The sequence below is a fragment of the Homo sapiens genome, chromosome 3, assembly GCF_000001405.40.
Source record: "Homo sapiens chromosome 3, GRCh38.p14 Primary Assembly".
In the NCBI taxonomy this organism is placed as follows: Eukaryota; Metazoa; Chordata; class Mammalia; order Primates; family Hominidae; genus Homo; species Homo sapiens.
In genome coordinates, this window is record NC_000003.12 from 175,743,973 (window position 1) to 175,757,595 (window position 13,623).

Below are 13,623 nucleotides of genomic sequence, written 5' to 3' on the forward strand. Positions count from 1 at the left end.
TGAGTGGTGATCTAGAAGCACCTCACATTATTCTTCTAGGGTTGGTGGTACAAAAGCACAGGGTGAAAAAGCACTGCTGCCTACGACAGCTAAAATGCAAGTGATATCATTAGGGGAGAACCAGGTTTCAACTAAAGCAAGAAGGGAAAGAAAATATTCTCAGAATAGGCCAGGGAAATTAATAACCCTTTCTTTAATAGTTATACCTAAGCGTGTGTCATCACAGGAGGAACAAAACAAAACAGAACTGCAATGATTCAATGGAGATTTTCACTCCAAGCCAGACACCTCTATATCTAGATGAATCTGCCCCTAAAATCCAAGGTTCTCAAATGGATGAGCCAGGAGTACTTTGGCTTCTTACAGTTATATCAGACTTCTACCCAAGATGAAGAACTTTCTCTGGTTATTGGTTGTTGCATGTGCTTAGTTTTCTTTGGATGTGAAATTCCTTGGGTCTCCCTGTCACTTTCACTGGGAAAGGTGAGGCCAGACTTGAGATGTACCCATATTAGAAAAAACAAGCAAAGCAAAACAAAGTGTAACCAAACAACATAAGCAAAAATATTATTTTACCATGTCCTGTGTGTGACTGTTTGATAAAATTAATAAAACCTGACACCTTTAAACTATACATTTTTATATTTTACTTTTTGTGACTTAAAATAATCATGGTCAAAGATTATTCAAATAGTTGCTAAATTGTAGGCATCAGTTCTATTTTAGTTATGCCTTACTTCTAAAAATGGAATACAGTAAAGGGCTAATGTGTGAATAATGGAAACCACTTATCAATACCTAAATACATATTGCAGTTTTAACTTTAGCTACAATGCTAGATAAGTTCATTAGCTAAACAGAATTCTTGTACTGTGTTAAATGAAACATATAATTTTACTGCTTAATACAAGCTTAAATTGTTGATATTTTTCTTATTTTTATGACAATTCACAGTGATTACTATTAATTTCTCAATTGCAGTGAAAAAAAAAAACTGACCTTCAAGGCTGAACCAGAAAATACTGTTTCTCCTTACTGCAAACAGTATAAATATGAAGGTCTCTGAAACCCAATTGCATTTTCAACGGTGTAATTTTTACCACTTGACAACCAGCCATCTTGTTTATTTATTACGCTAGTTTACAGTAGCAGCAGACCATTCTCAACCGTTCTCACAACCACCAGAAAGAAGGATAATTTACCAGTGAATAATTTGTTTGGGTTGATTTATTGGATGGTTCTTGAAAGCTCACTTTGACTGAGTAACCTTGGCTCTTAATATTTGGTCAATGCCAAGCACATAATGGAGAATGAATATTTATTTGTGGTATATGGAGATATAGTGTAAATAGTGATGGATAAGATAGCTGATATACTTCAGATGTATTAATACTTGTGACAAAAAATGAATACAGTTGTCCCTCAGTATCCATGGAGAATTGGTTCCAGGAACTCTCTCAAATACCAAAATCCATGAATGTTCAAGTTCTTCATATAAAATTATGTAGTATTTGCATATAACTTGTGCACACTATAGATCATCTCTAGATTACTTATAATACCTAATGCAATGTAAATGCTATGGAAATTGTTGTTATACTGAATTGCTTGGGGAATAATGACAAGAAAAAACAGTCTGCATGTAGTAGTACAGAAACCATTTTTTTCCACAAATATTTTCAATCTACAGTTGCTAACTGTATGTCCAAAAAATGCATTTAGAATGCAATGGTACTAGTTTGCAGGGGCAGAGGAAGGTATCAAAAACAAATAAAATACAACCCTACCCTTGAACCTTAGAGCAGACTAAAGAGTAAGCGCATAATAATCTTACTAAATTTGATGCTCCTCACCTTACCCACTTCTTAATGTCTAAAACAGCACTTTAAAACAATTAATGTCTGCGTAATTCTGATGTTTCTTGCTTAATATATGCTATTTTTCTTCATCAGATTTCTTAAATAGCATTATCGTAAAGACTTCATATGACCAAATAAAGTAAAAGTAATTTTCATTTGATCTAGCTAGGTACACATTTATTTAGTGCAAGCCAGACTCAGCAGGAAACATAATTTTGAACTGTGTGTCTTATTGCCACCTCCTGATTATCTCACTAAATGTAAAATAGTTGCTGGCAGCGTTTCCTCCTGTTCTTTGAATAACTGACAATGAGAATTTGGTCTGACTTTTTTCTTTTTTTTTTCATTAGCTCTGATAATTCATTAGCGTCAATCACTTCATTTTGGAAGAAAGGATAGTATTTCAAGGTGATGATCACACTAAAGCAAGCATTCCGTGTCCTGTTAGATTTGTAGTTTCAATTTTTAGGTGTCACTTGGTTTGTTTTTTTTTTTTTTTAATCAATTGCAAATGATTGAGATCTATGTAATATGTTTTTTTTTTCTAAAAATTAAAAAGTGAGTTTCCCAACTAGCAAAATTAAGTTAAGCACCGTACAGTTTGCCTGAGTCTATTTCTCAGCCCATCTGTCTTCAATTTTGATTTAATTACCACCAATTCCAGCTCTGGCCTGGCCAGTAGATAATGAAGTACACTGGGTCCTCAATCCTGGGCCCTCCCTCAGAAGTCCAAGGCAGCCTGACTAAAATCCAGACAGTTCCAATAAAAGATTTTGTTCCTGTGGGAATTCTGTATCATGTTAGATTTCTAGCAGTTTGATCTGAGCTGGCATTTCTAAAACTTACCTTTTTCATTTGACAAGGACGTAAACTCTAAAGCATTCAATGAGAAGTATCTTACCTTGTTTGCTCAAATTAATAGAGAAGTTTAATAAGAGGTTGGCCATCCATTGGGGGCAAATTCCTAAAAATACATTTAGTCTCAATCCCCATTACATTTTTATATAGACTGACTACATAACCATATTAAATTGGTTCCAGGAACTCTCTCAAATGCCAAAATCCATGAATGTTCAAGTTCCTCATATAAAATGGTGTAGTATTTGCATATAACCTGGGCACATCCTCTAACACACTTTAGATCATCTCTAGATTAATATCAAATGCAATGTAAATGCTATGTAAATAGTTGTTATACTGAATTGGTAATCCACACTTAGTTCAAAAAGCTATTTGAGGCAGCTGGCTCTTTAAGGCTGATTGTCTCCCCATTGTCAGAGTATGTCTTCAAAACTAGTTTTTCTTTCCCACCATTTCTCTTTGAACTCATATTTATTATCACCTAATGTCCCTTAATTATTATCCTAAGCACATTGTTCCTTTTTTCCTTTTGTTTATCTTCTGTCTCACAATTTGGTGCTATTCACACGGCTTCCCATTGTGATCATCATTTCCTTCTCCATTCTGAGTACTTCATGCAAATTCCTTTGAAGTTTTCTTCTGAGTTACCTACATTTTATATGTGACACTACATTGATTGAAATCTGTGAGTGACTTATTTTTCCTACTCTTCCATCATAGTAATGGCCTATTCTATTGTAACATTTTTTTCCCTAAGGTGTATTTTTTGGATAAAACCCTGTGCCCATGACAGAATAGTACCATAACCCATTATTCTATGAGTGTTTCCTCACTGGCACACTTATAAAAATGTTTGTTGGTTTCTTTGTGTAAAAATACTTTTAATCTTGGCTTGTAACAGAACATAAAGTACCCTTGCCTTCATATTAATCAATTTCATTTAAGCCTTTTTTTTTTCTTTTTCAGTTTCCTGGTTTAGCCAATACATAATTAGACTCACATGTGATATTAAATATACAATTTCAACTTTCTGCCTCAGGAGAATGATAAGAATAAACTCCACCTGAATTTAATTCATTCAGGAATGTTTTTGCTCATATTTCCCAAGCAGTCTGTAGCCAGATCATGCAGTCACAAACGTAACCCAGTGACAACATCTATAGGTCACAAAAGAGCCCATGGTTATATTTCTAAAATAAATGGACAGACAATTTAGGGAACCCACTACATGCAGTGAGTTGGAAGTCTTATTAGATTTGCATCTGCAGTGGCTACCTGGATTATTGGATAATCTTTAGAATTTAGAAATCTGTTGCTTTTTTTTTTAAAGTAACCAGTATAATCCATCTAAACCTATCACTTCAGTATCTTTTGCAATGAGATTTCTATTTCATTCAGTTTAGCTATAATTATCCATTGTTTTCTGGCATTTTTCACCCTTAAATAATATCTTTTTATCTATGCATTATCAAATCAATGTTAGATTATTTGAGTATCAATAGCGCAATCGCTCTCACATTTTTTCACTACCTGAGTTGTTTGTTTAACATCTTTAAATCACCAGCTGAGATGATTCATTGTGATTCATACTAAAAAAAGCAGCATGAAGAATAGAAAATGTATGATAAAAAGGACTACTGTTGCCCCTGGCTGAAATCATATTGGCAATTTCTTTTATTTTCTTTAGTGATACCACAAGGTGTTTTTAAGATGACATTAGGTAATATACATTTTCCCCCAAAATAATCTTCTACTCTTTTAACCACTGTATTATGCAGAACATAAATCATACTTTTTCTTGTCACTATAAATCAGTGAAGTCTAAGCTATGATTGTGCAATTGTTAGCACCTTTAAAACTGTGGTAAGCTCATCCATAGGATAATAGGTTCTGGGAAATACTATTAAAGAAAAAGCTTACATTTGTTTGATATAAAAATGTTGTTTTAGAGGATGACCAGTACATTTCACTTTTAATTTAAAATAAAATTGAATACGCCTTTAAAAATACAGCCACAAAAAACACAGAAAAATTGAAGTAAACTAAAATTTAAAACTTGTTGGAGTAGGAAAGTCCAAAGAGATCATAATGATAAGCAGTAAAATCACTCCTTAGAATAGGAAAATTATAGACTGGGCATGGTGGCTCATATCTGTAACCCCACCACTATAGGATGCTGAGGCAGGAGGATCACTTGAGGCTAGGAGTTCAAGATGAACCTGGACAAAAGAGCAAGATTCCATCTCTGAAAGAAAACTTTAAAAATTAGCTGGACATGGTTGTGCAAGCCTTTGGCTGTAGATACTTGGAAGGCTGAGGTAGAAGGATCTCTTGAGCTCAGGAGGTCATCCCTGCAGTGAGCTTTGATTGTACTACTGTACTCCAGACTGGGCAACAGAGCCAGACCCATCAGGAAAGAAAGGGGAAGGGAGGGGAGGAGAAGGGAGCGGAGGGGAAGGGAGGGGAGGGGAAGGGAGGGGAGGAGAAGGGAGAGGAGGGGAAGGGAGGGGAGGGGAAGGGGAGGGAGAGGGGGTAGGGGGAGGAGGGGGAGGATGATGGGGAGAGAAGGGAAGGTTTTAAATTTTTCCAGGAGATTGGGGAACAAAGTTAATACCCAAGAGTTTATGCTAAGTTGAAACTAATTGTCTTAGTTCATTTTGTGCTGCTATAACAGAATACCCAAAACTGGGTAATTTATAAAGAACAGAAATTTATTTCTCACTGTTCTGGAGGTTTGGAAGTCTAAGATCAAGGAGCTGGCAGGTTTAGTGCCTGGTAAGGGCCCAGTTTCTGCTTGTAAGAAGGCTATATCCTTTGGAGGAGGGGAACACTGTTTCCAACATGGCAGAAGAGGGGAAAACAAAGAGAGAGAACCCACTCCTGAAAGCCACTTTCTAAAGGCATGAAACCCACCCATAAAAGCAGAGCCCCCAAGGCCTAATGGCCTCTGAAAGGCTCCACCTTCCAATGCCATTACACTGACAATTAATTTTCAACATGAGTTTTGGAGAGGACAAACTTATCCATAGCATACATCAAGTTATTTAATACCTCAGGTAAAATGTAGTTTGTGCTGATCCCAGGTCCCGGCAGGTTACAGCATGTATAAATTCAGTGGATACAGTCGTTACTGTAGTTAACGGCCTTACGCAGAAGTCTTAGAAGCTTTAAATGGATAAGCCATTATAAAATGACTTTGAGCTTGTGACCTGCTGTTGGAAGGTGTTTTAGGATCCTGTATCAAGGGTGTTCAGAAGGAATAAGATTTCTGGGAAGAAGTTTGTCACTTTAGAGGCTACTCCACAAAGCTCCATATATTGTGTTAAGTTCCTTACATTTGTTATAATATTTTAACTTACTTCTAGCTCAACGAGCTGAGCTGTGGATTAAGTCCAATTTAGAGATTAAGACACTGAGCCTCAGAGGAGTTTGTGTCTTAACCAGATGTATAATTAGTGGGAGAACTGGGGCTTGAATCTAGGTCTATCAGATTCCAAATCCCCTCAACCTCTCTGCTACACCACATTGCCTCATGAACTGTCTTGAGGGCAGGATGCTACAGGATGATCGTTGGCTAGAAGGCAGAAGATTCCCTGAGCAAAAGGCTTTTGTTTTCCCCAGAACATCTTAGAGTCTTTCCTAAATTGGCTTGTCTAGGTCTCAATATCTATTTTGATATCTATTGACTAACATTTCTCTCTCTCTTCTTCTCTCCCTGCCTCCACCCCTCCCTCCTTCCTTCTTTCTTCCTCTTTAATTAATATTAATACTTCTTACAATATCCAGCTCCATTCTTTCCATAACAAGCCAGAAAAATGGGAGGATTTGGATTGGAGGGAGATTTATCCTCTACGATAGTGAGGACTAAGGGATGAGGCTGGAAAGACATTAATAATGTTTAAAAATGGAACACTCTCCCTCAATTGCTTTAATGTAGATAACATCCCAGAACTTTCAAGAGCTCATTTAAGATGTCCTGGATTTTTAGGCAGTTTCATGATCTATCTCTCAAGGTTTACTTCTTCCCTGGACACTTGTCAGATCATTCTTATACACAATGAACTCTTCAGTCATCCTCATGAGCATTTATTTCATGTGACAATTATTGTGTGTTTAGATGTATATGTACATTTCTAACTAGATCAGGAATTTATTAAGATTAAAAATTTAATCTTCTATGTCTTTGCTTCTTTCTCAGTACTTTTAGAATAACATATAAAAAAGGACTCAATAAATACCTACTGAACACATGTATTTTACTTTGAGATGAAGGGAAAAAGAATAAATGCAAACTGTTTTTGTTTGAAATTTGTAAGTTAATTTCATTTGTCTCAAATAATATCAAGATAGTTTCAGTAGACAGTCAACTATATTGTATTATATTAAGCTTGATTTTTAATATTTATAATAAATCAGCATGTTCTACCATACTATAAAAATTTATTAATGGTTAGCGTTTCACCAGGAGCAGTGATCTAAAAGAATCCTTTTTAAAGTTCACCGTTTAATTCCTTTATCCTTTATATTATTTCTTTCCTTGTTCTTCAGAAGTTTGAGATAGCAGCCCATGGGGAAAAATGGCACCCAATTTGCAAGCACAGCAAAATAAAATTAGAAATCCTTATTAAAGTATATATGAGAAGGAATATGGAATATGATACATTGGGTTGGAGGGGCACAGGTTGAAGAAGTGATAGAGAGTAACATCTCTGAGAAAAAAAAAGTCAGTAAAGCTGTTACAATATTTTTTCCATGCCTTTAAAAAATGGGTTTGTAGTAACTTGTGTTGTTTGTGTGCTCTAATAATACAAACTTGCGTAAATAGTGATTTATGCACTTAGAAACTTACATGATTATTTTCTCCAAGGAAGCTGAAGGCCTGTAGTATTAAGTAACTTATTCATGACCACACTGATAGTAATTAAGTAAACCATACTGTAATCTATCTTTTGATATCCAGTCTTTGGTGTGTAAACTCCATGTGTATAATTTAAAAAATAGTTGTATTAACTCGCTCTGAGAGAAATATCTAATTTCCAGTTAATTTTCTTTGTTTAAACGTACTTATTATTTTTTAAACCCGTACTATGAACAGCCTCAGTTTGTCCTCTTTTCTCTGAAATTCACCGTGCCTTAAGTAAAGTTTTATATAATCTTAAGTTTTTATGGGGTTTTTGTAGGGCATATTTTATTTCAATTTAGTTTAATTTAACTTATCATTACCCTACAATAGCCTCTTTTCTTTTAAATATTTTTCCTTTATTTTGCAACTATAATGGATTTTTAGTAAGAAAGTGAAGGAAATAGCATTTGTTGATGCTCATTATGCACCAAACATCTCCCTGAATGATTTTGTAGACATTGTTTAATATAATAATACATTTCAAAAAAGACATCTCATAATTCAACATTCACTCAACAAATTTATTAATAAATGACTACCATAAAACAGATATTATGCTACGATCTGGGAATACAAAGAGAAATAAAATGTATTTTCTGATTACATAGGGTTCTTTCCAATCAGAAAGAGTAGAGAGACAGGGCAGATAAGGATCAAAATATTGCAGCTGCTATGATAAAAGTATATAAGTTAATTATTCATTGATTAAATGGTACAACTGGCACTTTTAGGTGCTAGGGAAATGGCAGTGAATAAAAGACACAAACCTCTCCCTTCACAGAACTGATATTCTAGTAGGGATCCTAAGAAGCATAAAAGATGAATCATTTGGGGTCACAAAAGCTGAAGTAGGAAAGGTAAGGTTTCTTTCTGGTCTTATTTAAAAGAACAAGCAAGCTCTAATTGGCAGAGAAATGGCTACTAGAAATCTTTGGAGCATCATTTATATATCAAAATGATTGAGTAAACATTGAAAATAGAGCTACTTTTCAATTTGTAACCTCATACACTTGAAGTAATGCATACAGTGTGTTGTGAGTGGCTAGTTTCCACTATCAGGGTCCTTTCTGGAGCTAGCCAGTTCCTGAAGCTGTCAGTTCTCTGCATCTGTACTACCATGAAAGATAAATTCATTTAAAGCTAAATAAGGTAGAATGATACAATTTGTCTCACTTGATTCGGTAGTAATGTGTTCAATTCTGTAATGTACTTTAGATCAGAACAGATTTTTCTTTCTTAAATGGAAGACTCTCAAGGATGTCGAACTTGTTTTTTCTGTTGTTCAGTCTTTCCAGCATAATCTAAATGTGCTGTATCCATCTTATTGTTTCCTTGTGCAGAGATATTCCCTTGAAGTTATCTATACATTAACTTTGCTGAACCATCAAAATTTAGGACAAACTATTTTCATAAAATGGCATTGAGTAAATTATTCAGGAGCTAGATTTTCTAAATGACTTAAAATACCCATTCTTGCAACCTCATTTTGTTGTGAAATCAAACAAGATAATTAATGAATCTGAAATGCACTTTGAAAACATCAAATGCCAAAACCTTGTGAACTCCTATAATTGATTTTATTCTTACTGTTAATTTCAGTGAGCAGGGAGCTACATATTAGCCTCAAGCATTATTTCTCCTTCTACCACGATTTTTAACTAGATTGTGGGATATTGAAAATTAGCAAAAATGACTATGTTCTCTAAGAACATTTCATGTAATCCTACCTATGAATCTCTTTGTAGCCCTTATAAAACTACTTATCTCTTTACATAATTTTATTTGTTATCAGATTTTTTTTTCTAAACATACTTTATTGAACCTACTTTGCTTATTTAGTAAACAATTATTGAATTTCAACACGGTGCTGGGCACTAAAGACATTGACATGTAAAACAGTCTCCATCAAATGAAGGTGAGAATAAAAAATTATCATTTTAGAGGTTGGCAATTCTATGACAAACATATTTAACGTATCAGCTATACATCTAACCTAGTTTTCCTTTTCTTAGCATATCACCTCTCTGTAATTTTTCTTAAATATGTATAGAATAATCTGAGTAGCATATTGAAATGAAGATTCTTGGCTGTGCCCCTAGAAAGAATCAGTAGTTCTGGGAATCTGCATTTTCATAAGGACCAAGTATTACGGGAACTGGTAACCCTTGGACTTTACTTAGACAGAGTCCTTTTGTGATGTTTCCCTTTTGCCCAGGACTTCTCATAGTGAAGGCCTCAGGAGGCCTCCATTCTTCACACCATCTGTCTGTCTCAATATCATCCTCTCAAAACTGCCAATTTAGGTTATCCAGCTCTACTTTCCTTCATTACCTTGACTTGAAGTGATCCTCTGTAGTGATATGCCAGCCTTGTTGAAGCCAGTTGTACCTAGTCTGCTGAGAATGATACCAGTAATTGTTGTCTCACTTAAAGCCTGATTCTAATGGTGAGATATCTGGAAGAAGATGTGAGGGAATGCCCCTCTCATGACATGATAAGAGAGTGATTTTTAAAGAAGGTCTTGAATCACATCAGCTGAGAACTGCTTACCTGTGGGGACATACTGAACAAGTATTAATCATTTAATCCTCATAATAAATCTATGAAGCAGGTACTATTATTACATTCATTTTACAGATGAGGGCACTGAGGCTCAATAACTTTACCAATATCACATAGATACTAAGTGGTAGCGCAGGGATTTAAACTCAAGTGGACTGGCTCTAGAGTTCAGCGGACAACTATACTAGTGTTGCCTTTCTCTTAGTCAAAGGTATGTCCTGTGGAGCCTTTGCTACCACCATTCCTCTCAGAATGACTTTTAGTAAGTTACACTAACAATTGGAAAAGAAACAAAGACAAACACAAACCTCCAAACTAAAACAAAACAATGCAAACACTACATAAAATAGTTTTTAGTGTATTTTTAGGTCAAAGATATATATCAACTTCACATTACAGGACATTTCTAGTAAAGAAAAAAAGAACCCAGTAGTCACATGACAACATATAGTAACATATCTCAGGTTCTCAAGAGAAAAGATCACAACTCGGTTTTTATTTTCTTCCCTGAAATACAGTTTACTCTCTGGTGAACATAAATTTTTGAGTCAGAAAGATCAAACTTCTAATTCTGTCCTGTTATTTACTTGCTTGATAACCTATGACAATTTTCTGACCTTACTTAGTTCTCAGCTTCTATGAAATGTATGTGACAAGCAAGTTTTGGTCAATATTAAAGACATAGTGCCTGGAATATAGCAATCCTTCAGCAATCGGTACAGTACCTATTTACTGTTGTTATTATTATGAGCAGTGATAAACTTAATTTAGTAAAATATAAAAACAAGTTGAGACAGAATGCTTTGGGCAAAATAAATATATTCTCAAAGTTCAAAGTTTACTTGATGCTGAATCTTTTTCCTTGGACAGGTAAGATTCAAACACATATACCCTTGCTTTTGTCAAGTGACAAAAAAAAAGAGAGAGAGAACTGTCAATGACAATTTCCTCTTCCTTCTTCAGTGGTCTGTCTGGCTTATAACTTAGATTCCTGATTGGAAAATGCTTATTTTGCTCCCTTGAGAATGTCTCTTCTGAGATGGGCTCATTTATCTTCACCAGGTGATCAACCCAACACTCATCAACTGTTAGCCATGGCGTTACGCCTGCGGGAGAGTGCTGAACTTTTTCAGTCTGATGAGATGCGACCTGCTAATGATCCCAAGGAGAGAGCACCCATCCGCATCCGGATGCTGAATGACATTCTCCAAGACATGGAGAAAAGCTTTCTGGTAAAGCAGGCACCACCAGGTTTTTATAGGTAGGATGCATGTCTCAAAAATTATACTTTTTGCCCTACATTAAATGTTTATGTTTAACTTTCAGAATACATACCTTCTATGAACATAACAGTAGTGTAAAAGAAATTATAAAGCAGTTACTCATTTGAGGAACTTCCCCCTCCCCCAAAGAAAAATTAAACTGCAGAAATATAAAATAATGGAAACTTGGCTTAGCAGCAGCACAGAAAAAATGAGTAAGAAGTTTCTTACATTAATTTCAATATGAGTCAAATATGATATGGCCAATGAAAAAGCAAATGGAATTATAGGTTGCACTGAAAGAAATACACTTTCTTGACCAGATCAGGGGATAGACCCATGCTATTTTTTCCTGCAAAGATCCCATCTAGATTAATAAGTTTAATCCTGGAAACTACATTTTATGTTGGAGTTCAACAAGTTTAATATTTAGGGGAAAGTGGGATTTAGATCGATGTTGAAACAACTGAGGAATTAGGCTTGTTTGGTTGGAGAGTCACATGGAGTGCTTTCTGAAAACATTTTAACAATTATATGGAAGGTGGATTAGATACAGACTCAGAGGATACTATGAGTACAGTATGGTTTTGTTTTTGAAGTTCCTTATATAGTAGAAGATAAATGAAGAAAACATGAAGTTTAAAAGATTATGGTACCCATCAATCATCATAAAACCACGTCATTAAAACCACAATGAGAAACCATCTTACACCAGTCAGAATGATTATTATTAAAAAGTGAAAAAATAACAGATGGAGAGAAAGCAGAGAAAAAGTAATGCTTATACACTGTTGGTAGGAATGTAAATTAGCATAGCCTTTATATATACTTGGAAAACAGTATGAGATTCCTCAAACAACTAAAAATAGAATTACCTTTCAACCCAAAAGGCTAATCTCTTGGTATCTACCCAAAGGAAAACAATTTTTTTATATCAAAAAGATACTTGCATTCATATGTTTATCACAGGACTAGTCACAATGGTGAAGTCATAGAATCAACCTGAGTGTCTATCAACGTGTGATTGGATTAAAAAATGTGGTATATGTACTCTATAGAATACTAAGCAGTCATCAGAAGGAATGAAATCATGTCTGTCACAGCAGCATGGATAGAGCTGGAGGCCATTATCCTAAGTGAAATAACTCTGAAACAGAAAATCAAATACCGCATGTGCTCACATATAAGTTGGAGATAATAATAGATACACATGGACATACAGAGAGAGATAGACACTAGAGACTGCAAAAGAGGGAGAGTTGAAAAGTTGTTATATATTGGGTACACTGTTCACTATTTGGGTGATGGGTACACTAGAAGCCCAAACTTCACCATTACATAATATGTCCATGTAACAAACCTGCACATATACCTCCTGAATCTCTACAAATTTTAGAAAAAGATTATGGCATATTTAAACAGTTTTTATTTAACTGATAATTCTATGAGACACAACATACAAATACATACTTTTCTGTTTAATATATACATATATAATATGTGTATTTATATGACATATTTAATGTATGTATATGTGTATATATAATATACATATGTATATATTTGTGTATATATATTTTTTATATGTGTATGTGTGTGTTTGTGTGTATGTGTATGTATGTATGTATAATTTTATGTAGTGTGAAAGTCCAAATTTGTGGCCCTTTAAGAATGAAAGTTCTGGGCTAAACAAACAGTCCTCCTACTCCATTCTTCCCCCAATATCTCTTTGCCTCCTGCTTCTTCTCATGATACACCCTGGACTAGACATACTATGTATAAACAAAGGTTATAACTAGGACTAAGGAATCGATGTATGGTATAGAAATCTTAATTACATATAAGAAAAAGGTAAAATAATAAATATGATACTTTTATAAAGTAGCAAAAGCCTTATCACTGCAGACATTAAAATATAGGCTGGGTGGCCCTAAGCACCTGAATATTTGGACCACGTGAGGTTTAAGGTGCCCATTAGTACTAAAGTTCTGTGATCTCACACATCACTTAATCTTTCAACATCTTAATTTCTACATTTATAGAAGGAGATGATGGAATGAGACTCCTTTATAGTAAAATATGTTTTTAAAGCCCGATATTTGGTAATTTTCCTTTATGGTTTTAAACTCAAATTCACATTTAAAATCCATACTTTACGTAATTTTCCAATATTATG

The 13,623-nt window shown here is 34.6% G+C and overlaps 1 protein-coding gene across 21 annotated transcripts in view; it reads left to right on the top strand.

The window, feature by feature from the left end:
- Positions 1 to 13,623, top strand: part of NAALADL2 (N-acetylated alpha-linked acidic dipeptidase like 2) — a 1,369,567-nt gene that overhangs the window by 1,302,991 nt on the left and 52,953 nt on the right. For all 21 annotated transcript variants that reach the window (XM_017006077.3, XM_047447876.1, XM_017006075.3 and 18 more), the window contains one exon: positions 11,248 to 11,446. In XM_017006077.3, coding sequence (XP_016861566.1) covers positions 11,248 to 11,446 — 199 coding nt within the window. The remainder of the gene's footprint in view (positions 1 to 11,247; positions 11,447 to 13,623) is intronic.